Below are 26,659 nucleotides of genomic sequence, written 5' to 3'. Positions count from 1 at the left end.
ACTGGCCAGGCAGCTGATATTCCAGACTGGTGGCCAGGGAGAGCTTCTTTGGGGAGGTGACACTTGGTAGAGACCTGAATAAGGTAGGAGAACGAGGCAAGTGGAGATAAGAGGGTTTGTGCTCTGTTCAGAAGGAAGAGTAAGTACAAGGTGCTGAGGCAGCTACAGGCTTGCCGTGTTTGGGGAACAGGAGGGTGGTGAGGCTGGAACAGCACATGAGGCAGAGAGTGATAAGGATGGAGATTGAAGAGAGGCAGGAGTCAAATTCATGCAAAGTTTGAATTTTACGGAACGCAGTGGGAAGCCTATGGAGTTTTGAATAAGGGTGAGAGTGATGTAATTTGAGTTGTCTTTTGTAACTATCACTGTGGCTGCTGGGGTGGTGGTTCTTTTTTTTTTTTTTTTGCTAGGAAGCCAAGAGCAGAAGCAGCGAGAGAGGGTTTAGGAGGCTGTTGTGTTAATTTAGGAGGGAATGGAAGGTGGCTAGACCAAGGTGGTAACAGTGGAGTTTGAGAGAAGTGGTTGAAATTGGTGTTATGTTCATGGTAGAGCCAACAGGATTTACTGGTAGATAGGTAAGGGGTGTAAGAGGAGTCAAGCATACTGTGTAAGATGAATGAAGCACAGGCCTTATCAAAGAGCTCTGTTTGGAACATGGTGCATTGGAGACGTTCATTAGACTCCAAGAGGAGGTGCTTAGTGAACGTCATATCAGGGGAGAGTCTAGAGCCAGGATAGAGACTTTGGAGGCATCAGCATATAGTATTTAAATCTGTATACTAGATGAGTGTCTAGGGGCTGAGTGCAGAGCACCTCGTTGACATTTAGAAATTGGGAAGAGAAGGAGCAGCAAAGAGAAATGGGAAAGAGTGATTAGTAAGTAAAGAAGAAACCCAGGGGCATCTGGCAATTTGAAAGAGAAGGGAAATTTTAAAAAGAAGGGAATGATCAACTGAGTGTGAAGAGGTTGGTAATACAGGGCCTGGAATTGAATCATTGGATTTGCAAAAACAGAGGTCATTGACAACTTTAAGAATTATTCCTTTTTGGAATAGAGGGGATGAAAATCTCATTAGATTCAAGAAAGAACCAAAAAGTGAGGAAGTGGTGACTACGAAATGTAGAATTCTTTCAAGTGAGTATAATAGCTAGTTTGACAAAACCAACTCCTTCCCCATTTTTAAATTTCAGTAAAACTAACACTCAGCAACAGCTGGTATGTAGACACATCAGAAAATTATGTAACTAGAATATAAAAGAAGCCTATTTATTGACTTTGCCTTGCATTTGCATATATTTACCCCAGTTTTCTAGATCTGTATGTAAAACACTCAACTATCATTGTTGGTATTTACAGTGATTTTTGAAATACATAAGCCGTTCCAAAATAACTTTGTATATTGATATGTGGCTCAGAAATATCTTTCATATAATTTATCTTAGTTCCTATAGTAAGATCCTCATTCATCAGTTATTCCCTAAGTGCATTAATCTTTTTTCTAGCAGGCAACTTGGTTAATGTCTTTAAAGTAGCCTTTATTTAAGAAAGGTTTTGTTTCAAACCATAGTTGAAATAAATGTACCAAAATTTTCTATTTTCTATAGCAGCTTTTTGTAAAACGCACTTAGTCTGTTTTTCCACTAGGGGGTGCGGTAGGGATGAGAATGGAGTTCTACATTCACATGGCTCCATTTTGTGCAGTGATGGAGTGTGGCAATGGATGCTTGTTTTAATTCCCGGAAATAAACCGTCAAGAATAAAAGAACATGATGGCAAGACAGTTTTGCTTTATGTTCTTCCCTCCAAAATTGGTAGTATAATTAAAAGGCAATAAACATAAATAAAAATCAATAGCATTCCCTAGATCAGTAATGTCAGAAGAGTAGATAGGAGCAAATGTAACATTCACAGTAGCAAGAGAAACCACTAAGTACCTATAAATAAACCTAAGAAAAAAAATAAAGCTTTTATGGAGAAAATAATAAAACTATTGAAGGAGGTCGAAGAAAACCTCAGTAAATGGAGACATATACTATGCTCATGGGTGGGAAGATAGGGCTTGTTGGTTTTCTCCAAATTTACTGATTCTGTGAATCCCATTTAAAATCTCAACAGGTGATATAGGTTATTGAGGATAGCTGAATGATAGATTTTTGTAACTATTTTATGTAGGAAAACAATACATAGACCATTTTATGCAAACTGTTTTTTCAGGGGAGAGGGAAAGAAGGACTATTTTTCACATTCAATATACAACCTGTACATACAAATAGTAAAATGAAAATAGTCTATCCCTCAGGCCATAGAACTTTCAGTTCCTCAAATGCACAAATTTTCTTTTGTCACTGGACCTTTGCTTGTCTGTTTCCTTAGCTCCCCTTAGACCACTTTGACTAAGTCCTGCTTGCCTAACACTGCTTATCTTTGAAGTCTCTGGGATGCTTTTCCCTCTGAGAAATTTTCCCTCAGTAGGCTTGTATCCTTATTATCTACCTCTATCAGAGTGCCTCTATCACAATCAAGACCTATGCAAATACCTGATGATGCCTTCTCCCTCTTCTGCAGGTGAGGGAGTTCAATGGTCAGCACTTTATTTTGGAGGAAGCAATTACAGGGGATTTTGCTTTGGTGAAAGCCTGGAAGGCGGACCGAGCAGGAAACGTGATTTTCAGGTATTGTGATAGTTTTAAAAACACTCGTGCATATCAGCAACTCTAAAAATGGACATCAGAGTGAATTTGGAATTTAAAAATGTATTTTCGTAATGGCCCAAAATCATACATGCCCATGTGTATTGCACATATATAGGTGTGTGCAGGGCTGCTGGTATGTCCACTTGTGGGAGTCTGTTTAGACTGGTCGATATCTATGTTGCACTGCTTGTTAAATATTTGGATCTATATGCCCTTTTATATAGGCACATGCAGTTGTTTTTCTCCTTGTGTATTTTAGTTGCCAAGACCAGTTACATGCTTAGAAAATGTGACATCATACAATTTTATTTAATTGATATTGTAATTTACATGTATTGTCTTAAAATGTCAAAGCTAATTTGATACTCTGGAAAGATACTGCTAATAATCATTGGGGTCAGTCCTTCAGTCCTTTTGGTGTCTTCTAGGAAATGCTTACAAAGGTTCTATCTGAAAAATTGATTAACCTTTATAATACTGAATTTTCAATCCTCTCAGCCACAGACTTTATAGATTTTAAAATCTTTTGGTTATTCTAAGCATACTAAGTATTTATATCTTGGATTTATAGATTTATATAGTTGTTTTTTGAGGAATATGAAACCTTTGAGTGTACACTTAAGAGTTTTCCAAACTGATCTTGAAGACTTTACCTATCAGATTACAGAAATCATTGTTTTTGCTTATTTATCATTTGCTGCTTTCGATTAACAATTTTTAAATCTTTAGCAAATGCAGCTTTGGTGCAATTACAGTTAAGTTCTCAGTGATACTCTCATATCACTTTTTATTTCTGAAGGACTTATGTGATATTAATGCTCTTTGATTTCTTTAATTTAGCCAGTTTTTTAAAGTACAACTAATTTTGGCAATAACAGGAGTAATTTTACATCATCTTTACCTTATTTGACACGTTTGTGTAATATTTACACGTTTAGTTGCTTTTTAAAAAAGATTAACAAAATTGTATACTACCAAACAGAAAGGAATTATTGAAAATATTCCCATGTTTATTCTGCGCTGCAGTGCCTGGCTCTGGTATTTGAAGGCTGCACAAGGGCTATTCTGGGCACTGACTTTATGCTGGTGGTTAATGAGTTCGGGTGTGAAATGAAAGCTTGCATCACCAATGGTCAAGTGACCTTAGGATTAACTTCATATTTAGTGGGACAGCTGGAACAGAAGTCTGTCTAGGTTATTCAAGTGGGGGACTTGGGACTCCTTTGCCTCTGACCATTCTGCCCTTGGAGCTTTTGATGCCTGGATGTCTGGTGGGATCTAACCCAGCAACTTGTGAAAGTTCACGAGGGCTCCTTTCTCAAGGATGCTCCTATTCCTGTACTCATTCTTCAATCTGAGCAAAAGAAATATTGGTGGCTCAAAAGAGCTAGTAAAACATAGCTGTGACTTACTTCCTTTTACCAAAGAAATTCTGCCATCAACGTATATTCCCAGAGACAAAAAATATGTTTTAATTTTTACCATTAGGGGAACTGTATTGAGGAACATCAGAGTGCAAAACCATCGGCAAAATTGGCACCTGCTAGAAATTTTTACACCTCGGGGTCTGATGTGGGTGTTATACTTCCAAAAACTTCATCAGAAAATGATTCTCCAGAATGATCTTTATAGTTGACTCACAAATTATCAATGAATGTTTCATTTAGTTTCAGCAATAGGCTTCTCTTCAATAGAGAATGTAATTACTGTACCTTCTCATGTGAAGCATTTGCTACTTTTCCTTTCTTAATATTTTAATGAAAGCAAGTGGTTGAATGAAATATTTAACTAATAGGGACAAAGCATACTTGTTAAAAGATTAAGGGAAATTAACTTCAAATAAGATAGATTTATTAATATTCCTTTTTTTGTTGTAGCTATATGTTGAATGTGAAAAATAGTTCCTCTTTCCCTCAATCCTGTTCAAAACAAAACTATATACATTGAATAAAGTAGTTATGGTTTTTAAAATTTATGAGATATTTATGAAACTTTATTAATGGAAAATATGATACACTCTTTTTGGAAAGATTCTTAGATTCTTAGTTCATAGAAATTCTAATCTATAAAACCTTAAAGGTGACAGAGATGCTTATTTTTCGTCTTTTCCCCCCCACTTTCTTATCTCCTCCACCCCTGTAGGAAAAGTGCAAGGAATTTCAACTTGCCAATGTGCAAAGCTGCAGAAACCACAGTGGTAGAGGTAAGAGGTTATTTTTGAATTCTTGGTGTTAATTATTTAACTTGATGTTAAGTATTAATTCAAGAAAAAGTACCACAGTTCATTTGTTTTATGGATAACAATGACAGCTTTTTTTTTTGTTTTGGAAATGGATCCATTCTATCTAAATATATAATAGTTAAAATTTTGCTGTAACTTCAGCTTTCTGGTTAGATAGGGTCTCACTAGAATGCTCTCTTTGGGAATCAAGCAATGGGACCAGCTTATAAAAGTCTTTTGATCCTTAAATGAAATAGATCTCCTTGAATGAAATCCCAAGATGAATTTATGTATGTGGAATCCCTGGAAAACAGTAAATGTGTCAGAAGAAGTTCATGATCTTACTGTGATAGATTTTGTGATTTCTTTAAGGGAAGAGCATTGCACATATAACTACTTTGATGTGGTTCAATTCAGAGCAAATTCAGGCACTGACTGTCCTTTGGGTATCTCAGTGTTTGGAAGGGGCTTGGATAATTCTGCAGCCTTTCCAGGCTTAAGGACCCAGGGCAGAAACAGGGGCTTATACCAAAACCGTGCCATTTTGGTTGTAACATATTGAACCTCAAAGAAGACTTCAAATGGTTCTTAACTTGAGGCTTTGAGGATCAACTTGGAACCCAATTTTCGTGGGAGTTTGAGGTAGTTTTTCCTTGGGAGGGCTTTATAGGACCCCTATTGGGATCTGGAATTGAAAATACATAGGTTCCTGATTGATTTTTCTCATGATGGCAGGTGTTGTATGTGGTATCTTTTGATTCATTTTTACAAGGCCAAGATAATGTTTCATGAAGTCAGTACAGTGTATTTTGAAACAATCAAATGTTAGAGTTTTGTTCCTTTCTTGGAAAATGAAGTGTGCTATTTTTAAATTGCTGAAGTATATGTTACTTTCAACCGAGGCATGGTGGTTTCTTTTGCAATGGCTTTACATTTTCTGAATTTAAAATGGATAGTGTGGCTTACACTTTCTGTGTAACCTGTCTTTAATTTATTCATCCATCTTAATGACCTGTCCGTGGCACACAACTATAGCATTACTGAAAAAAGGCCTACAGCATAGCTTAAAATAATCAATAGTTTTACACCCTGTTGACTTCCTGTATTTCTGTAAAACTGTCAGAAACCAGTATTTCTTTCCAGAGTACAGAGGGGCGTTATGCATTATCCTGGGTGAAGTTCTCTTTAAAATTTTTCCTGTTATAATCTGGTTCTTTTCAGTTCATCTCATTTCTTACAAGAGCAGAAAATAACCTTGTGTTGAAGAATCATTGCAGGTATTAGGAAAGAGAGGCTCTCTTTTGGCCTAAGGAGAGAAAATCCTTTAACTAAGCCTGCAAATGTAATAAAGGCTTCCCTCCTGTGTCCCGGAACAGACATCTCTGATGGATCACAGAATGCTTTCCTGGTAGGCCGAGACACACATTAGGGTCTCTTTCAATACAGTAATGTGCGCAACCACTCCTAATTCACTACACTCTCCAGTATGGTAGCCACTAGCCACATGTGACTTATAAAATTAAAATTATGGCACAGTGGCTCAGGCCTAATTTATCGCAGCACTTTGGAAGGCTGAGGCAGGTGGATCGCTTGAGCCTAGATGTTCAAGGGCAACATGGTGAAACCCTGTGTCTACAAAAAATTAGCCAGACGTGGTGGCATGTGCCTAAGTCCCAGCTACCCAGGAGCTGAGGTCTGAGGATCGCCTGAGTCCAGGAGGTCAAGGCTGCAGTGAGCTGTGACTGTGTCACTGTGGCTCCAGCCTGGGCCACACAGTGAGACCCTGTCTCAAAAAAAAAAAAAAAAATTGACTGAGAAATTGAATTTACCTTTATACTAGTCCCATATCAAGCAAAGCTACATGTGGCTAGTGATTACTGTATTGATTAGCACAAGTAAACATTATCATTGCAGGAAGTTTTATTGGACAAAGCTGGATTAGAAGGATCAAGAATAATCTGTTATACTAGTACAGGAACATAAGCAAAACAGCTCTTTGGACTATAGGATTATTGTAAGCCTACCCCTGACACCTGTTCATAGTAGAAACATATAGTATACATAGTAGAAACATGACCATAGATTGAATTGTAAGAACTGTGCTCTCAAAAGTGGAAAATAATTTGGAATTGGGGTTAGTGCCTAGATTGGGCATTTTCTGATGTGAAACTCTGTTTTGGCTTTGTGATTTGTATTTTGAGTCCAGTGAGTACCCTGGACCTCCAGCCCCCTGTTCTGTGCTATACCCTATGCACTCCGTTACCTGCGCTGGCCTCCAGGTTGCTATGACTTTTCAAGCCCTATCTTGCTTTCTTTTATGGGAGTCATAGTGGGATGGATGATTATAAGCTGGTCTCTGAAGTGCAACATTTAAGAGGAATCTTCAGGGATCATTAAGTTAACTGCATATTCTTCTGCATGCAAAATGCCAATAATGTTAGCTACTATTCAGGCATTTATGATGTATTAGTCACTACCGTATTCCTTATGTGCATTATTTTAAATTCTCACAATAGTCCTATGAGATAGGAATAATAATTATCTTTATTTTAGAGATGATGACTTTAAGGCATAGAGAGGTTAAGTTATATACCCAATGTCACACAGCTTAGGTGGAACCAGGAGAGACCCACAGAGAAACTGATTCCAGGCTGTCTACTCTTTTCCATTATGTAATGAAATGCTTCCATGTTATCTATCAATGGATGCTTTAAACTCTTGGAAGATATTGAATCTCCAGAAGTAGTCCATTTCATTGCTAACTATTAGATACAAGCAAATAAGGAGTTTTTTTTTTTTTTTGCCCAGCTTATTTTTCTATCCCAGACCTTCCTTGACAATTATTTCAATTGTAGTCTTTTTTTTTTTTGTTCTAGTACCATCTACCTTAGAGATGTCTTTGAGAAAGGCATCATCCTGTGTTCAGTGGCCCCGTGCATTCATTCAGTCTTTCTCTTGGACTCTTTTCATTCGATTGTCTAGCCTCTTTGACCTTTAAGCTTTTTACATATTTCTCTAAATGTGGTGACTGAATGTCTGTTCTAGTACTATAGTATCTTAAGCAGTGGGAGGCATAACAGTGTGACTACACCCTATATAACATAGTCAACGGCGTCTTTTTTTTTTTTTCTTAAATAAAGAACTCTTAGCTCATCTCCTTTCTTTTGAATTGTGGAATCTGGATTAGAGCTTGTCTCCTAAAGCTCTGTGCCAGCATCTTCCCACTCCACAATGCTGCATCTTCTCAACCTTTCTTCTCCCTGGTGATTTGAGTTTTGACTTGAGTTTTAAAGAGGATAGAACTATAAATATTTAAAGTACTAAGATTCCCTTAGGCATCTTAAATTTGTTTTGGATTTAGAAGCAGGGTGGCAAAGGAACATACATCTTGCTTTTTTGTTTATAATTTTTAAATTATATAATTTACAGCAAATGTTTTACATCAAGAAGTAAATGAGTATGTTTATTGTGAATTTAAAAGAAAATCAAATTGTCCTTGATGTTACTTATTTCTAGACTCTGCAAAAGGGAAACATTAGTCCTTTTTGGCAAAGTTTTGTTTTCAGATGTGTTCTAGACCAAGGGCCCCAACCCTCAGGCCATGGACCTGTACTGGCCCATGGTCTGTTAGGAACTGGGCCGCACAGTGGGAGATGAGTGGTGGGTGAGTGAGCATTACTGCCTGAGCTCTGCCTCCTGTTAGATCAGCCCTGGCATTATATTCTCATAGGAGTGGGAACCCTGTTATGAACTCTGCATGTGAGGGATCTAGGTTGCTCGCTCCTTATGAGAATCTAACTAACGCCTGATGATCTGAGGTGGAACAGTTTCATCCCAAAACCACGTCCCTGCCCAACCCCCATCTGTGGAAAAAGTGTCTTCCACAAAACTGATCCCTAGTACCAGCCAAAAAAGCTGGGGACCACTTTTCTAGATAAACTTATGAGTTGTGTAAAACCATAGAGGTGATCACTTATGTCTGTTTTTAACAAAACCAATATGAACATTACATTCATATTTCTTAAAATGTGCAGCCATTTGCATGCTTCCCCACAAAGTTGTGACACAGTTGATGCTGGCTGTATCTTCCTACCCCTCTTATGGACCTAGGTAGCTACTTGGGAAAAATAGTGCACATGGGCGCATATTGCCACACATGCTAGAGAGATGTTTCTCTTTTCAGTCCAGACAGTGTTATTTCTGGACCTCCCTCTCTTTGAGTGAGGGTGAAGTCTTCCCTGATAAACTTTACAAGTTCAAGTGCAAAACCAGCCAGGGAATGACTCTTGGGTGTTGCCTTCCATGTGTATGACAAGGAGTAGCAAGGACTCTTGAGTCTTCCAAAGGGAACTAATTTGGCTGTTTCTCAGGAGGAATCCTGTTATTGTGTTAAGCTCTCAACTCCCTATGAGCCCCTCTGCTAGTCTTCTGTGTGCATAACCTACCATCTAAGTTTCTCTGGAAATGGCCTATTTCTGTTTTTTTTTGAAGGAGCCTGTAATAGAAAACCTATGGGGAGGGATGAGAGTGCTTCACTCAGGAGACTGTTGATGCTTTGTCTCCTGCAAGCAGCCTGGCATGCACGTGCTGTCAGAAAAGGTCGTCTGACTCAGCCACTGAAGCTGCTGAGGCTGCCTGTGACTGAAATAACCTCACTGCTGTGGATTTCTTTGTGCTGTCAGGCTTGTGCCATGGCTAGTTTACGAGACAGCAAAGGTTTACCCAAGGCCCTTTCAACTATTTTAGTTAACTTCAGCTTTCAGTCAAAACAAGTACATTTATCATGACATAAATATAATTACTTTTATTGTATTTATATTGTGGTATGTTTGCCTGTAAAAGAATTGCTTAGATGATACGATATTTGGTGCACACAAATATTTATTGTAGCCTGTGTGGTTTATGAATCACAATATAAATTGAATATCGGTGAACCCATCTAATATAAGAATTAGAGGTTAATGGACATATAGAAAATTATTTTCAAAAGTGATATTCTAAGACTTATTTATAAGAGCCAGGCTTCAGGGAGCTGTATCTTCTGTGTTCTATACTGGTGCCTGGCATGTGCCATTGTTTTAAAATTTTTAAATTTTTGTGGATACATAGTAGGTGTATATATTTATGATTATTGGGCTGTTCAGATTCTTAATTTCTTTCTGGTTCAATCTTGATAGGTTATATATGTCTAGGAATTTATTCATTTCTTCTAGATTTTCCAATTTATTGGCATATAGTTGCTCCTAGTAGCCACTAACGACTCTTTGAATTTCTTATGAGTTTTAATGTCCCCTTTTTCATCTCTGATTTTATTTGGGTCTTCATCCCTACCCCCACCCCCACCGTTGTTAGTCTGGCTAAAGGTTTGTCAATTTTGTTTATCTTCTCAAAATACCAACTTTTTGTTTCATTGTTCTTTTGTATTTTCTTCATTTCAAATTTATTTCTGCTCTGATCTATATTTCTTTTACTAGTTTTGGGTTTGGTTTGCTCTTTTCTAGTTCTTTAAGTTACATCATTAGGTTATTTCTTTTTCTTTTTTGATGTAGGCACTTATAGCTGTAAATTTTCCTCTTAGTAATTTTTATCTGATGAAATGTTCTGTAGATCTCTATTAGGTTCATTCTGTAGTGCAGATTAAGTCCTATGTCTCTGACTTTTCTTCCTGAGAAATCTGTCAGTGCTGAAAATGGGGTGTGGAAGTCTCCAGCTGTTGTATTTTAATCTGTCTCTCTTTAGCTCTAATAATATTTGCTCTATGTATCCGGCTGCCCCAGTGTTGGGTGTGTATATATTTATAATCATTGTATCCTCTTGCTGAATTGACCCCTTTATCATTATATGATAAGCTTCTTTGTCTCTTCTTACAGTTTTTCTCTTGAAATCTATTTTGTCTGATGTAAGTATAGCTACTCCTGTTCTGTTTTGTTTTTTTTTTTTTTTTTGTGGGTTTCCATTGGCATGGGATATATTTTTCCATCCCTTTATTTTTGGTCTCTGTGTAGCTTTATAGGTGAACCATGTCTCTTGTAGACAACAGACCACTGGGTCTTAACTTTTTTCATCCATTCAGCTACTGTGTCTTATTGGAGAGTTTAGTCCATTTACAGTCAATGTTATTATTGATAAGTAGGGACTTATTCGTGCCATTTTGTTTTTTGTTTTCTGGTTGTTTTGTGGTCTTCTTTCTTCTTTCCTTCCTTCCTGTCTTCCTTCTAGTGAAGGTGATTTTTCTTTGGGGTGCTTTGATTTCTTGCTTTTTATTTTTTATGAATCTGTAGTTTTTTTTGTATTTGATGTTAGCATGAGGCTTGAAAAGACTGTCTTATAACTCGTTATTTTAAACTGATGAAAACTTAACACTAATTGCATAAACAAATAAGCAAAAAGAAAACTAATACAAACTCTATGCTTTTTTTTTTTTGAGACGGAATTTTGCTCTTGTTGCCCAGGCTGGAGTACAGTGGCATGATCTCGTAAGTAGCTGGGATTAAAGGTGCGCACCACCACGCCCAACTAATTTTTTGTATTTTTAGTAGAGACAGGGTTTCATCACGTTGGCCAAGTTGGTCTCGAACTCCTGACCTCAGGTGATCTACCCACCTCGGCCTCCCAAAAGTGCAGGGATTACAGGCATGAGCCACTGCATCCAGCCAAAACTCTACACTTTTACTTCACCCCTATGCTTTTTAACTTTTTGTTTCTCTTAATTTCTTATTGTGCTATGTCTTAAAGTTATTGTAGTTATTCTAATTGGTTCTTTAGTCTTTATGCTTAAGAGTGTTTACACACCACAGTTGCAATGTTAATAATATCCTGTGTTTCTATGTGTGCTTATTATTACCAGTGAGTTTTGTATCTTCAGATGATTTCTTGTTTGCTCATTAACATTCTTTTTTTTTTTTTTTCAGATCAAAGAACTCCCTCTATCACTTCTTGTAGGACAGGTCTGGTGTTGATGAAATCCCTCTGATTTTGGTTGTCTTGGAAGTTCTTTATTTCTCCTCCATGCTTGAAAGATATTTTGCCATATATACTATTCTAGGGCAAAAGTTTCTTTCCTTCAGTCCTTTAAATATGTCATGCTACTCTTTCCTGGCTTGTAATGTTTCCACTGAAAAGTCTGTTGCCAGACATGTTGGAGCTCTGTTGTCTGTTGTTTCTTTTCTCTTACTGCTTTTGGAATTCTTTATCATTGATTTTTTGGGAATTTGATTAACTCGCAAAAGGTAGCTTTGGAGGTAGTCTTCCTTGGGTTAAATTTGCTTGGTGTTCTATAACCTTCTTGTACTTGAATGTTTATCTTTCTCTAGGTTTGGGACATTTTGTTATCCCTTTGAATAAACTTTTCTACTCCTATCTCTTTCTCTACCTCTTCTTTAAAGCCAGTAACTCTTAGTATTGGCCCTTTCGAGGCTATTTTCTAGATATTGTAGGTGTGCTTCATTGTTCTTTATTTTTCTTTTGTCTCCTCTGACTGTATTTTCAATAAGCCTGTCTTCAAGCTTAGTGATTTTCTTCTGCTTGATCAGTTCTGCTATTTAAGAGACTGATGCATTCAGCAGTATGTCAGTTGCATTTTTCAAATGTAGAATTTCTGCTTGATTCTTTTAAATTATTTCAGTCTGTTAAATTTATCTGATAGAATTCTGAATTCCTTCTTTGTTATCTTGGATTTCTTCGTGTTTCCTCAAAACAGCTGTTTTGAATTCTGTCTGAAAGGTCACATATCTCTGTTTCCCCAAGATTGGTCCCCGGTGCCTTATTTTGTTTGGTGAGGTCATGCTTCCCTAGATTGTCTCAAGGCCTGTAGATGTTTGTTGGTGTCTGGGCATTAAAGGGTTAGGTATTTATTGTAGTCTTTGTGGTCTTGTCTTGTTAGTGCCTTTCCTTGGGAACGCTTTCTAGGTATTCAAAGGGACTTGGGCTCCAACCATAATTGCTGTGGTTTTTGTAAACTTGTAGGAGGTATTGTCTTGATGGTCTTAGATAATATCCAGAAGAATTTTCTGGGTTACCAGGTAGAGACTGCTGTTCTTTTCCCTTACTTTCCTCCAAACAAGTGGAATCTCTCTCTCTCTCTCTCTCTCTCTCTCTCTGTGCTGAACCGCCTGGAACTGGGGGTGTGGTGATACAAACACATCCCTATGGCCACCACCACTGGGACTGTGGTGGGTCAGGCCTAAAGCCAGCACAGCACTGGGTTTTGCCCAAGGCCTGCTGTTAACTACTACCTGACTACCACCTATTTTAACTCAAGGCCCTAGGGCTCTACAATAAACAGGTGGCGAAGCCAGCCAGGTCTGCATTCTTACCTTCAGTGCTGTGAGTTCCCCAAATGCTGTCTGATTTTTGGTTCTTGTGATGGTGCTTTTCTGTTTACAGATCGTTGTTAAAATTTGGTGCTCCTGAGGTGTGGACAAATGGCTTCAATTCCACCATCTTGCTCCACCACCTCTCCATCTCTTTTTAGGAGGTTAATCAGAGGAAAAGATCATGGGTATGTCTGCCATCCTGCCAAGCAGACATGTAGTGTTTCTGATTGGTGAGTGAGGAAAGGTAAAGATTGCAGTGTAACTGATAATACAAATTTTCATTTTAAATGTCTATTTTTGAGGATAATGAACATATATAATAGTAAGCAGAGGAGTATAATGTACCTTCCTGAGCCCAACACCTTAGCTCCAATGACTATCAACCCATGGTCACTCCTGCCCCATTCACATCCCCATCTCTTTGCCTTCTCCCTCCTCTAATTGATTTGAAGCAAGTACCAGATATTACAGTGCAAAGATAGTTTAAGGAAAGTTCACTGATACTCAAATTCTAGTGTACTAGGTATTTTTATAGGTTCTGGAAATACAGCAGTGAACAAAGCAAAACTCACTGCCCTCATGGAGTTTACATTCTGATGGTCTATCTTGATAATAGGATGAATAATAAGTAAAATATGTAGTATATTTGATATTGCTGTGTTAAGGGAGGAAAAACAAAGCATGAAAAGGGACCTGATATTTCAGGGAAAGAAACTGAAACTTAGGGTGGTACAGTGAAAGGCCTCGGTGAGATGACTTCTGAGTAAAGGCCTCAAGAAAGAGAGGAAGCTAGATTTGCAGCTAACTGATGGTGGAGCCTTTTAGGGCCAAATGAGTAGTGCGTGCAGAGGCCTGAGGCAAGAGCTTCCCTGGTGGTTTGGAGAACAGGGATGACAAACTTTTTTCATTGCATGGTCATAGGGTGTGGAGTCTTACGAGAATTAACTTTCTTGAGAATAATGGCAATATGTTTTTCAAAGACTGTGACTTTTGACATTGGAGCCTCCTGGTATTTGTGACTCTGGCCCTGTTTGGAGAGCTTTGTGTTAATAATTCCTCATACATTATCTTAGAAGTGATCAAGCTGGTTGTTTTACTTTACAATAGAAGGTGGGAATGCAGTAGATTTTAACCAGGTGACTTAAGCACTAAAGTGGATCCTATGAACATTTAATTTTCATTATTAAGCAGGCCAATTAATGTATCAGTGTTTTAGAGATTTGGGGCATCATGCTTCTTGCTTTAGAGAAATGAAAATGCCTAAAGAGTAAGCATAATTCCTTCTCTCTTAAATTTTTCTTATTCTTTAGACTGCTAATGCCTAATGATACAGTTTTAAAAGCAGTGGAACTCATAATTTTTCAAGAGGCAATAAAAAGAATGTTGGGATAGGAAGAAAAATGAAGCTTCTGTCCAGATAAGACAAAGACTTCTCACCATGTTGAAAAACTTCATTAGATCCCATTTCAAGAACACACACATCCATACGCAGGCTCATTCCTGTGTGAAATTCATTCACACACAAACATCTCTGACATATGGAGGCATATTTATAAGAACTTGGCTGAAATGTCAAATTTGGCATTCACTATGTGAACTTACTATGCTACATGCTCTTTGCTGCACTTTAGAATTTACCTGGTTAAAGCTCTCTATTTCAGTTAGCTACGTAGAATGAGGTTAGCAAAAAACTGTTCCTAATCTTCTTGAATCTACTCACATCAGCCAGTTGAGTTGAACACTTGACACAAGTTCTTTTAAGAGAAAGAAAAAGGTGTCTGTTTGATACAATATGGAAAAAAGAAATACCTTCCTTCCACCAACCCTTTCTGAAGAATCCTTAGTCCTTCGGCAGAATACTATCACCTTCCTAAGTGCTAACTTTTGGGATGGATGTAGTTAGTGATGGATATCATTCACACAGTTTGATTTTTTAGACATGGTAAATTATATAAAATCTTCAACTTACATTTATTTTCCTTATTCTTTTTCAGTTATAATATTTTACTTGTGCTTTTGGACTTTTTAAAATTGATTACTAAATCATTCTTAAAGAGATCTGTAAATTCTGTGCCACATATTTAGCCAGGTATAGAGTGCTTTGAAAATGTAATGTCCTAACATAAGCATACTGAATGAACTGACTGATCATACTTGTTTCAAGAGTATTGAAGTATTTAAAGACAATTCATTCGTTTCCTTGAATTTTCATGAAATGCTAGATTGGTTTGAAAATTTTGGATGCTAATGAAGATGTACTCAATGAAGACATATTGTAGTTGAGTAGTTTGGCAAAATAACCTAATAGAATTACTGTTACGTTAATATTTGCTATTTCTACCAAGGAAGTAATAAATATAAAAATATGGACTTGGTGAATGCCTAGTATTAACTTACTGCATTATTTTACATACACTTGTATATTAACAAATATAATTCTTAGCTTAATGACCATTTACACCCAGAAGAATAGCAGAATAGAAATAGTTTATTGGTGATAAAAATATATTAAACAAAGTGTTAATCTTGACATTTTATTTCTTGTTGCTTGGTAACAATGCTGCAGTAATGCGAGAGAGTTCCATTATCTCAGGTACAATGGACTTCATTGCATTGTGAGGTAAAAATACCAATTACAGCAAGTCATTTGTATGCCATTATCCTCACAAAATTTTGGAGCTATTTTTTATAGTTTATATAGAGATCCTAAAAGAAAGTCATTTTAATAATATATCCCCCTTTCTTGATGGATTGGTGAATTTTATCCTAGCTATTTTTGGCTTTTTGTCTTTATAATTTTTCAGGCCTCAAATTTGTGTTTTTATTAACCTGTATTATGTAAATCCAGGCTTTTAAATGTTATAAATATGCACATTATAAGTGATACTTCATAGTCCTTATTGAACATCTTTTATCCTTGACCACTTAAAGAAGAGAGAAATATCTGGGTGGAATTTTTTTGCCTCGTGAAAAATAGGGCATATTCCTCATCCTTCTCTAATATAGAACTTCCTAATTCAGGACATCAGGAGAGCCTGTTGAACTAGTGTGGCTTGTATTAAAGAGAGGCTGATTCATGTTGTATAGAACATTTTTTTTTCTCTGTAATATTGGTTCACAGTTATTACTTACAAGGATTGACAAAATACAGCCCACGGCCTGTTTTTATACAGTCTGAGAGCTAAGAATATTTTTAAATTTTGAAAAGACCATTTTTTAAAAAAGTATGTAACAGTGTGTACCCTGCAAAGCCTAAAATATTATTTAATCCTTCACAGAAAAAAGTGTGCAGACCCTTCATTTACAGCATAACTTCTATTTCTGTAGTCTGAATATATTAAATTACTCAGTATTTCTTAAAGGATCAACATAGAACTGAAATAACTGATTTGAAGACAATGAATAGAAAATTAATTAGAATAATGTGAATTTGTATAGATGTCGAGAAATGACTGCAATTTTGTGGGACTGGTTTTGGGGCTTCTATGAAGGGAAGATCTTGTGCAAAAAATTTGTGTATCCAGCTGTAGTTGCTGCCATCTTTTAAAAGCATGATGCCTCTGTCAATAGATCTGACATTAATATGATATAATTACATATTGATGGACTCATTTTATTAGAAGCACTTGCCTTTTTCTTGGTTATTTGACTTATACTTGACGGCCAGTTTCTCATGTATAGAAATGTGTAGCCTGGCCATGTGCAGTGGCTCATGCCTGTAATCCCAGCAATTTGGGAGGCCTAGGAGGGTGGATCACCTGAGGTCAGGAGTTCGAGACCAGTTGGCCAGCCTGGCCAACATGGTGAAACCCCATCTCTACTAAAAATGCAAAAAAAAAAAAATTAGCCAGGCATGGTGGCAAGCGCCTGTAATCCCAGCTACTCGGGAGGCTGAGGCAGGAGAATTGCTTGAACCTGGGAGGCGGAGGTTGCAGTGAGAGGAGATTTTGCCAGTGCACTCCAGCCTAGGCAACAAGAGCAAAACTCCATCTCAAAAACAAAACAAAACAAAAAAAAATTGCACAGCCAGATGAATGTCAGTAACCAGGATGATGGGTGGAATCTTCTCCAGCCTGACTAGTGTCCAGCATGTGGCTGTAGCTCCTGCTGGCTGGCAGAGTTTCCAAGAGCTACAGAAATAGTCCAGGGTTGAAGTCATGCTGTGTTCTTGGGGTTTGGGAGGGCCCTATGTCTCTGATTTTTCATCTGTATCATCAGCACCTTAGGAGGCGGAAGAACAGTGTTGGAGAGACTTTGAGGATGGTGAGGCTGATTACTCTTTTTTTCCCCCACCAGTTTTCTAAACTGCCTTGTAGCTCTCTCTTTTCTTTTTGGTCAGAAACACTTTTGTAAGACTTATTTATTTCTTATTTGTTGGTAAGGTAAAGCCTCAAATCAGGAAGTTTACCCAGGGTAGCAATGTGCTTTCTTGTCTTGCACCGATCCTCTTAAGCAGCAGAAAAGGATTGAAACAGCCAAGGTTAGTGATGAATGGCAAGTCAATTATTTTAGCTAGATTCATTTAACTCCCCTTTCTTATAAACAGTGTTCAGAACTTCACACTTGAGCACCATTTCCGCAGTATCTTGTGTTTGATATTACTTTGCATAATGCTTTGGGCTTTTCAAATCACTTTCACATACAGTATCTCATCGGATCCTCTAATCACCAGGTGAAGTTGGAGGAGAAGCAGCTTTATTACAATATTGTAAATGAGAAAACTGACATAGATAAATTTCCTGGACTCGATGACTGGGCAGTTGAATGGCATGTAAAGGACACTTGGAAGACTTGGATTAAGTCCTGAGTCTCTCTATGACTTTCTGGTTGCTCTGACAATATCGAGGCTTTATTTCTGGATATGTATAAGTAGGAATTATAAAAATCTGAATGTAGGTAGGTATATAGGCATTTGTAGGAGCTTGGATTTTAAGTGCATTTGGAAAGGTCATAATTTTAGCTTGCGTATTGTTTGTAGAACAGACTTTAGAGGCATAAAGGGGCAGACCAATGAGGAGACTGATGTGATCTGGGTGAGAGCTTGAATGGTGGCTTGGACTTGAGTGGTGGAGAGGAGGATAGCATTAAGAGATACGGTATGTTGGAAGAGGAATCTATCCAACATGCCCAGGCCTTAGATGTGGAGAGCTTGGATAGAGGAAAGGTAGAGATTCACTCCTACACTTGGCTTGAGCAATGATACATCACTTACTGAGACGGGGAAACCTGGGATGATCCTGTTGGAGTGAATCAAGAGCTCGCTTAGGATTGATTGGCTTCTTAGGCATTCAAATGGTGGTGACGCAGGTGCAGATGGATATATTATTGTAGTGCTTAGAGGGGAGGTCGGAAAGGTAGTTATACAATTGGGAATAATTCACAAATACTTGAGTTAGGGTTATGGAATGGAAAAGATCACTTAGGGAAAGAAGCTCTGGGACTAATCCTGAGGAGGCTTATCTTTTTTCTTTTCATTTTTTTTTTGAACAGAATATGAGATTAAGATTTGTTTCTCACTACTTTTGCAACCTTAGACAAATGACTTTAGAATCTCGTCTTCCTTACAGCCTCTGTTGTTTGCTTATTTCATGGGTTTATTTTGAGCATCAGTGGGATAGAGCATTCCAGTGTGTTTTCTAAAGCTTAAAAATGCTACATGCTCACCTTAATCCCTCCCGCTGCTTTGATTAATAAACCTTAGATGACTGTTCTCATTGACCCAGTGATGATGACTATTGAACTACATTGTAAATGGCAGCTGGCAAGGCACATCCTCTGTAACCTTTCCCTGTCTTCCAAAGTTCTTTATCTGAGAAAATAAAAATTCCATAATGCCTCCGATTCCTAAAATCTTAGTGCATGATCAAAAAACTAAATTTTGTTTTAAAAATATTGTTAGCTTAAATCCTTCAGAAAACTAACCAATATTTGAAGTCCATAAAATCAACTTAAACATGCTGATACCTTACATCAAGCAAAAACTGTGATGACTCTTGAGGGGAATATTATGGACACCTTCACGAGAGCAAGGTTCTTATAAATCTGTCACTTCATAGCTTGAGTTGTACACCCTCAAATTGATGACCTCTCTCTGCCTTTGTATTTGAAATATGGAGCATTAGTTAATGACCCATTTTATCTCTTTTTATACTTTGGCTCAAAAGATTCACATATTTTGGTTTGGGATGAAGATTAAAGTTATTTCCTGCTTAAAACTTGCTTGTGCTGAATAACCACTGTGACTTTTTTATTCTTTAAGAAAGAAAAGTTTACTTAGCTCATGATTTTAGTGGGTACAAAGTCCAAGACTGGGTAGCTGTGTCTGGTGAGGGCCTCATGCTGCTTCCACTCATGGCCTAAATTGGAGGAGGAGTGGGTGTGCACAAAGAGATCATGTGATGAGAGAGGAGGCAAGAGCCATATGACTTCTTTTGAATGAAAGTCACATCTGTTGTTCTTTTGGGGACATAAATAAAGAGGGCCTCAGATACTGATGCTTTCTGTTCACCTGTGGGCATACAACTCCCTGAACACAGAGGGACTTAAGGTCCAAAATGTAAGTTATGTGGAAGGAAGTGTTTTCTTTTCTTCCTTATGATAGCTTTGCCTTATTGAATTTTTATAGAATTATGAAAATATCTTTTTGTTTTTGGATGGAATATTTTAAAACAGTTAACAGTTCCTAAGACTAGGAACCAAGAGTTACTTAACTGTTAGAATGTAATGGTCTTCTACTCTGTGGTTTATTCCATGAAGAAATCAAGTCCACTCATGTCTAAGACTAGAGTTTACCTTCTCTGGTTCAGCTTTTTCAAGTTTAATGATAATACACAGTGTTTCTGCCACTGAGTAACAAAGTCCACATTCAGATTCTTCAACCACTCATGTCCAAAAGTATAGGTCACCTTCTCTCTTATTCAGCCTTTGAAGTTTAATGATAATATACAGTGTTTCTGCCACTGAGAACATATTTGGGTTCTTCGAAGAGAATTCTAAATACAAATCCTACCTGAGGAAAGTTAAACTGGAATGTGAAGAACCCTGCTACCTTTTCTGTGCCTTCTGTGAAAAGGATCTGGGTGATTCATTTAAAGAATCTATTTTAGTTTCCTTAATAGTTGCAGAAAAGGATACAAGTTTTGCCATGTATTGTGAAAAAGTTCTGTTCAGTTTTGAATTTCACTTTAAATTTTGGAAAAGCTTTGCCGACACAGACAAAACTCAGAAGAAAATTTCATCGTTATTACCAAACTCAGGCGAATACAGGTTAACTATAAAAAGCTATGAGATTAAGAATGAGTTTGAAAGTTTTGGTGTAATTTAACTTTCTCTGAGGAATTTACAAAACTCATTCATCTTGAATTGTCTTCTTAGAATTGGAATTAGACCTTTAGAAATAAAAGTAGTATTAAGTAGAATCTGAAAGACATTTTTATAACTCAGCTTCTGCTATAAAAAGTATTTTAGCTGCTGTTTTATTTATAGTTTTTTGTTCAGTGCTCTTGGCATCTGAATATGTTTGCACTCAAAATGTTTTCACTTATTTTTCCTCTTTGGTTTATGTTTTTAATGTACAAGGTAATATTTTATATGTAAATTGAGGACTAGGTTTTATAAGGAGATAGGAAAATGGAATGGAAAACTTTCTTAATGAAATTCATTCCCAGGAAATAGGGGCAGTGAAATGGTCCAAGTAGACTCTATACAGCTAAGATGTGCTTTACACAGAGTGTGGTAGATGCTATACTTGAAATATTTTCAATAATGGTAATATAAGTTGAAGGAGATATATAGCCTAATAATTATGAAAACAACAATAGCAACAACTTCTGTTTATACCATGCACTTACATGTAAAGCACTTTATAGTAACCCAGTGAGGTAGGTTTTATTGTGTATATTTTATAGAAGAACAAATGAGGATAAGGAAAGACTTTAAGATAACAAAATTGGTAGGGGGAAGAGTTAAGATCTAAACATTTCTTTGTGCCTCTAAAGCTTATGTTCTGAAGCAAAAACAAATGACGGTTGGTATATTTTGAGGTGCATTTTACATTATGCTTTGCAATGTTAACATTTTTATCTAATTTACAGTCTCCTTACTTGCAGGCTCATAGACCTTTAGCTGACTGAATTTTTCAGTTAACTTAGTGTAGCCCCAGGATAATGTTAATACTTTCATAAATGCAAAATTAAGAATTGTTCAGTAATGTTAACCTTTTAGAAAATATGAAATAGGATAATCTCCTAAAAGCTGTAAAATGAGAACCTTCACATTTAGGAAGACAGAATGTTTTTTTCCCCCCAATTGAAAATGAGGTAGATAGTATTATATAGTTGTTTGAATTCAAGATAGAAACTTTAGGATTCTATATAGTAACTACTGGTAATGATTATTTAAAAAATAGCCACTTCCAATTTCAGGCCTAACGTGCCAGGAGGTTGGAAGTTGCCACACCCATTCTCACAATAAGAAAAAAGATGAATAAACTGAAAAATCAACAATTATTCTTAGATCCGTCAGAGGATTAAAGTCACAGGGCAAACCACTGCCACCCAAATTGGAGAGAGACAGGCTAATACGGAGAATCACAACTGACTGGAGCAGAAGCCTAGTAGCAGAAATCTCCATGGGAACCAGTCCTGGGGTAGAAAAGCTCAAACTGTAATTGATGAATTGTTGGAGGCTCATGTGGACAAGTTTGAGAGTTAGACTCCAGAGTGGTCTGGTCTTGGGAGGGGCTTCATATTTCTGTGAGTTTTATGTCTAGGATCCCTACCAGAGTTTTGGTGAAGACCAAAGGAAAATTTCCTTGTGCTTCTGGCAAGGGGAGGGGGGAAAAGTGGACATTTTGAAATATACCCAGAGCGTTCTCTTTTTAACAAGGCCTGCCTTCAAGTGAAATGAATGATAGTAATGTTATAAGAGACAAGTGCTGGGGATACCATGTTTTAAGATATTTGCACTACCTGTGAAGTGATATAGTGTTATTTGAAAGAGTACTTGGATTAATTGTAAATGTATATTGCAAACTCAAGTGTAACAAAAAAAGCAGAAAAAGAATTGTATGAAAAAGATTAATTAAAACTACAGAATGCAGAAAAGAGTGGAGAGCAAAAAGAATAAAGAACAAGGACAATGATGAGAATAGTAGCAAATATGGTAGATATTAATCCGACTAAATAATTTGAACATTACTGGTCCGAACAATTAAGACTCACAGTGGATTAAAAACAAGACTCAGCTGTATGTTGTCTATAAGAAATCCACTTTAATATACAGACACAAATTACAAGTAAAGAGATGAATGTAAAAAATTATTCTAACATTAATCAAAAGAAAGCTGGAGCAATTAGGCTGGGCACGGTGGCTCAGACCTGTAATCCCAGCACTTTGGGAGGCTAAGGCAGGTGGATTGGAGTTCAAGAGCAGCCTGATGAACATGGTGAAACGCCGTCTCTACTAAAAATACAAAAATTAGCCGGGCATGGTGGCACACGCCTGTAATTCTGGCTACTTGGGAGGCTGAGTCAGGGGAATCGCTTGAACCCGGGAGTTGGAGGTTGCAGTGAGCTGAGATCATTGAACTCCAGCCTGGGCAAAAGAGTGAAATGGTCTCAAAACACAACAAAGCAAAAAAAGTTGGAGCAGTTGTATTAATTTCAGACAAAGTAGACTTCAGAGCAAGGAAAATTATTAGGGATAAAGAGGGCTAGTCCATAATGATAAAGAGGTCAGTTCTCCACAAAAACAGAAAAATTCTTAGTGTTTATGGTGTGGCAGTTCTTATTTCTGGTCTCCTCCCACCCCCAAACCACTACCGCAGAACTAGCCTCATGAGCTTCAGAAGTACCAGTACTGGCTGCCTCCTGTCACTCCCAGTAGGGGTCTGAATCCCAGCTCTGAGAAACCCCTGGCCCCATCACCAGTTCCATTTACTTCTCTTTGTTCCTCCTGCAGTTACTAGATCCGTGTCACCTGCGTGCTTTTTTGCCTTTTTGGTTCTCAATTTCTTATTTAAATTCTATTAAAATAACTGACAAAACTAACTCAAGAAGGAGTAAAGAACTAAATGTAAGTGTAAAATAGAAAACTCATCGGAAATAAGAAAAAAGTGGCCATGCTTTTTTAGATAAAAACATGATCCCTGAGAGAAAAACACTTGATAGGTTGGACTTCGTTAAAATTAAAAACTACTACTCTGTGGAAGACACTGTACAGGGAAAAAAATGACAAACTCTGGTTTGGGAGAAGATATTTGAAACATGTATCTTATAAAAGACTGGTGTCAAACATATGCAAAAACAATTAAAACTCAACAACAAGAAAATCACCCTATCACAAAATAGGTAAAATCTGAACAGGCACCTTACCAGAGAAGATACACAAATGGCAAATAAGCATATGAGAAGATGCTCAACATCATATCATTAGGGAATTGCAAACCTAAATGAAATGCCATTACACACCTATTAGAATGGCTAAAAGTCAGAACACTAACAACCAAATGCTGACGAGGATGTAAAATCACAGGCACTCAATCATTGCTGGTGAGAATGCAAAATGCTACAGCTTCTTTCGCAGTTTGGTGTTTTCTTATACAAATAAACAAACTCTTACCAAATAATCCAGCAATTACACTCCTTGGAATTAAATCACTATGTTGGTTGGAATGCTTCCTGAAAGATTAATAAATTGCCTATTTTTGTTTCCATGTAGAATATGTGATAGACTTGTTCATGCTCTGATTCTGAGCCATTGTTGAATTTTATATTTCATTTCTCATATTTTTCCTAAACATCTAAGAACCACTTTATTGGCACTGTGTACTGACTTTCATAAAGAGGCAATGTTTTCTTCAGGAAGTGACTGCATGTGTGTCCCTGTGTAGATAAAAACAATACTTTGGTTAAATGTGGGAGACAGGTAATTGGCTTTGAAGTCCATTTCAGCTGCATATTGAGTGAAGTTTCTAGCTTACCAAAACTACAAATTGCTACTTTCAGAGTTGCTTGGGGATGTAGTCAACAACATGGCTATTAGGTATACAAATGTTAAGGATTTGCTACATAAGACACTGTGATTGTTTTAGATCATCTTACAATCTAGTTGAGGTAGGACTAACCTGAAAATAAGTTGTGCATAGAGCAGTGAGTGCCCAATTTAGTGATAAAGATAGTAATTGCTGTGGGATCTTGATGGTGGTGGTTTGCTGCGAGTGTATGGCACTAACCCCACCCAATCCCTCTCCACTTCTTGGCCTTGTTTATGCAGATAAACAAGAAAAGTAAGGTCAATTGTGAAGGAAGGAGAAGACTTAAGGCATTTTACGCTTGCCATCTTGATTGACAGGTCTAGGGACATTTGGGTCAGGATGGGCCATAATGGGATGGGGAGACACTTTCTGCATGGAACAAAGAGACTTGAGAGAAAACATGGAAGTGTCTTGGCTTGATTTTCTTTAATTACTGTCCATACCTAATGTTTCTTTTTATAAAATAGGGACCATTTTAGTTATAATATATATTTCATTACATAAAACATTAAGCATGTTTTTGCAGTTCACTAATCCCTAACGAAAGATATTTTAAGTTATAGTAAAACATATCAACAATTCTATTGTTGGACTTTCATGTTTTCCATCTTTCACTATTAATGCTTTAGTGATTATTATTTTTGTGCATGTCTGATTATTTGACCACATTTCTAGAAGTAGATTTTCTTTATATGAGTATCAACATTTTAAGGTTTTGGAAAGTATTGCGAAATCATTCTCTAGAAAGATAATTTCAATTATAACCCCTCAGTGATATATAAAAGTATCATTTGGAACTACTCTCAACAACATGGATGTTATACTTTAAACACTTGATAACTTGCTAGGTGAAAAATGCCACCCTATAGTTTTAACTCAATATCTTTGACAAGAGACATTGAATATTTTTCATATATTTATTGACTCTATTTCTTTTGTGATTTTGTGTCTTATTTTAATGGGAATGTCACTATTATTTTATTCCCAGGTGTTCTTAAACCTCCCACTTAGTTGAGGAGTTGTGTGAGGGAAGAAAAGGTACAGGGTATGGTTAAAATGTGTGCTCTGGAGCCAGGCACTCTAGATTAGAACCCAGCTTCCTGGAGAATCCTCCTGGCTGCTTGACCCAGGATAAGAACTTGATTGCCTGTAGTTAGTAGACTAGAAAAAGAAGAACATTTTGAACCCAGAGCAGTAACCAGTTACGGAAGTAAATGTGGGTAAGATTCCCAGAGAGAAGGTAACCATGGCCAGCAGCTATACCCACAGAGCCCCTTCATAAAATAAGGTGTGAGTCAAGTGCTGTTGATTCATTGTTTTGAGATAGCTCTCTAAAACTTACAGTCATGATTTCTCACAAAATAATTAACAATTTTGTTGCAAATGAGGACATAGATTGTGTTTAAAAAAAAAAAAAAAAGAAGGTGGCTCACGCCTGTTATCTCAGCACTTTGGGAGGCTGAGGCAGGCAGATCACCTGAGGTAAGGAGTTCGAGACCAGCCTGGCAAATGTGGCGAAACCCTGTCTCTACTAAAAATACAAAAATTAGTTGGTGTGGTGGCGCATGCCTGTAATCCCAGCTACTCAGGAGGCTGAGGCAGGAGAATCGCTTGAACCCGGGAGGCGGAGGTTGCAGTGAGCTGAGATCCTGCTGCTGCACTCCAGCCTGGGTAACGAGTGAAACTCCATCCCCCTGCCCCCCCAATCCCCCCCAAAAAAGGAAGAGCCAGAGGGCATTACTAGCATATTAATGGTTTTAGAATGTTCGTGATACTCCCTCCTGAAAGATTATTAAATAAGGTACACTGTCACTGATACAAACTGAGGGGATGTTCTCCTAAAAAAAAATTATCTTAATACAAAGAATGACATGGATTCCTTTTCCTAATTTTGCTCTCTTTTGGTTTAACAACTTTTGACCTACTTATCGATTTATTTCATGTTTGTGTTAAGAATATAACTTATGATTTTAAAGTCACTCTGATTAAGAATAATAGTGGTTTTCCTTACTCCTTCCAGAGACCTTGTCAAAAAATGGTATTTTTTCCAACTTCAAATATAGATCTAGTCTACAAATACTGAAGTGATAATTAGGGCTTATGCAAGATTGCTTCATTTGAAAAATTAGTTGCTTTTTTTCTTTTTCTTTTTTTTTTTTTAAACGAGTCACTTTTCAAATCTTTCTGGTTCAAGGACAAAGCTAAAAGAAGGCATCTTAAAGTCATGGCTTATATAAATGATTTAAGTAAGAAATGTGGGAAAAAGTGATAAATATGATTCATTGACCCCTTTTGTTAATTTTTGTCTTATAAACACGTTTTTCCATGTATTAGTGTAGTATGAGCATGCAGCATATGGCAGCCTCCTAATATTAGAACATATGCAAATATCTG

General features: G+C 37.1%; 1 protein-coding gene across 7 annotated transcripts in view, besides 2 other annotated features; it reads left to right on the top strand.

The window, feature by feature from the left end:
* Positions 1 to 26,659, top strand: part of OXCT1 (3-oxoacid CoA-transferase 1) — a 140,361-nt gene that overhangs the window by 25,078 nt on the left and 88,624 nt on the right. For 5 of the 7 annotated variants that reach the window (NR_157114.2, NM_001364302.2, NM_000436.4 and 2 more), the window contains 2 exons: positions 2,567 to 2,673; positions 4,837 to 4,897. Coding sequence is in view for 6 of the 7 variants with exons in the window: in NM_001364302.2 (NP_001351231.1) it covers positions 2,567 to 2,673; positions 4,837 to 4,897 (168 nt within the window). In the remaining variant the exon portion in view is untranslated. Of the gene's footprint in view, positions 1 to 1,690; positions 1,774 to 2,566; positions 2,674 to 4,836; positions 4,898 to 26,659 lie in introns of those variants that run through there. The other 2 variants (NM_001364303.2, NM_001364301.2) reach the window with 2 other exon arrangements.
* Positions 22,875 to 23,376: an enhancer, noted in NCBI's record as "NANOG hESC enhancer chr5:41822074-41822575 (GRCh37/hg19 assembly coordinates)". NCBI's record gives its function as "activates a minimal SCP1, AML or CMV promoter by ChIP-STARR-seq in naive H9 embryonic stem cells {active_cell/tissue: H9 hESC(naive)}" and the evidence as "EXISTENCE:reporter gene assay evidence [ECO:0000049][PMID:30033119]".
* Positions 23,947 to 24,241: a silencer, noted in NCBI's record as "tiled region #14906; HepG2 Repressive non-DNase unmatched - State 24:Quies". NCBI's record gives its function as "represses a minimal TATA promoter and a strong SV40 promoter by Sharpr-MPRA in HepG2 cells {active_cell/tissue: HepG2}" and the evidence as "EXISTENCE:reporter gene assay evidence [ECO:0000049][PMID:27701403]".

Source organism: Homo sapiens, chromosome 5 (assembly GCF_000001405.40).
Source record: "Homo sapiens chromosome 5, GRCh38.p14 Primary Assembly".
Lineage (NCBI taxonomy): Eukaryota > Metazoa > Chordata > Mammalia > Primates > Hominidae > Homo > Homo sapiens.
This window is presented reverse-complemented; position numbering and strand designations above follow the sequence as displayed.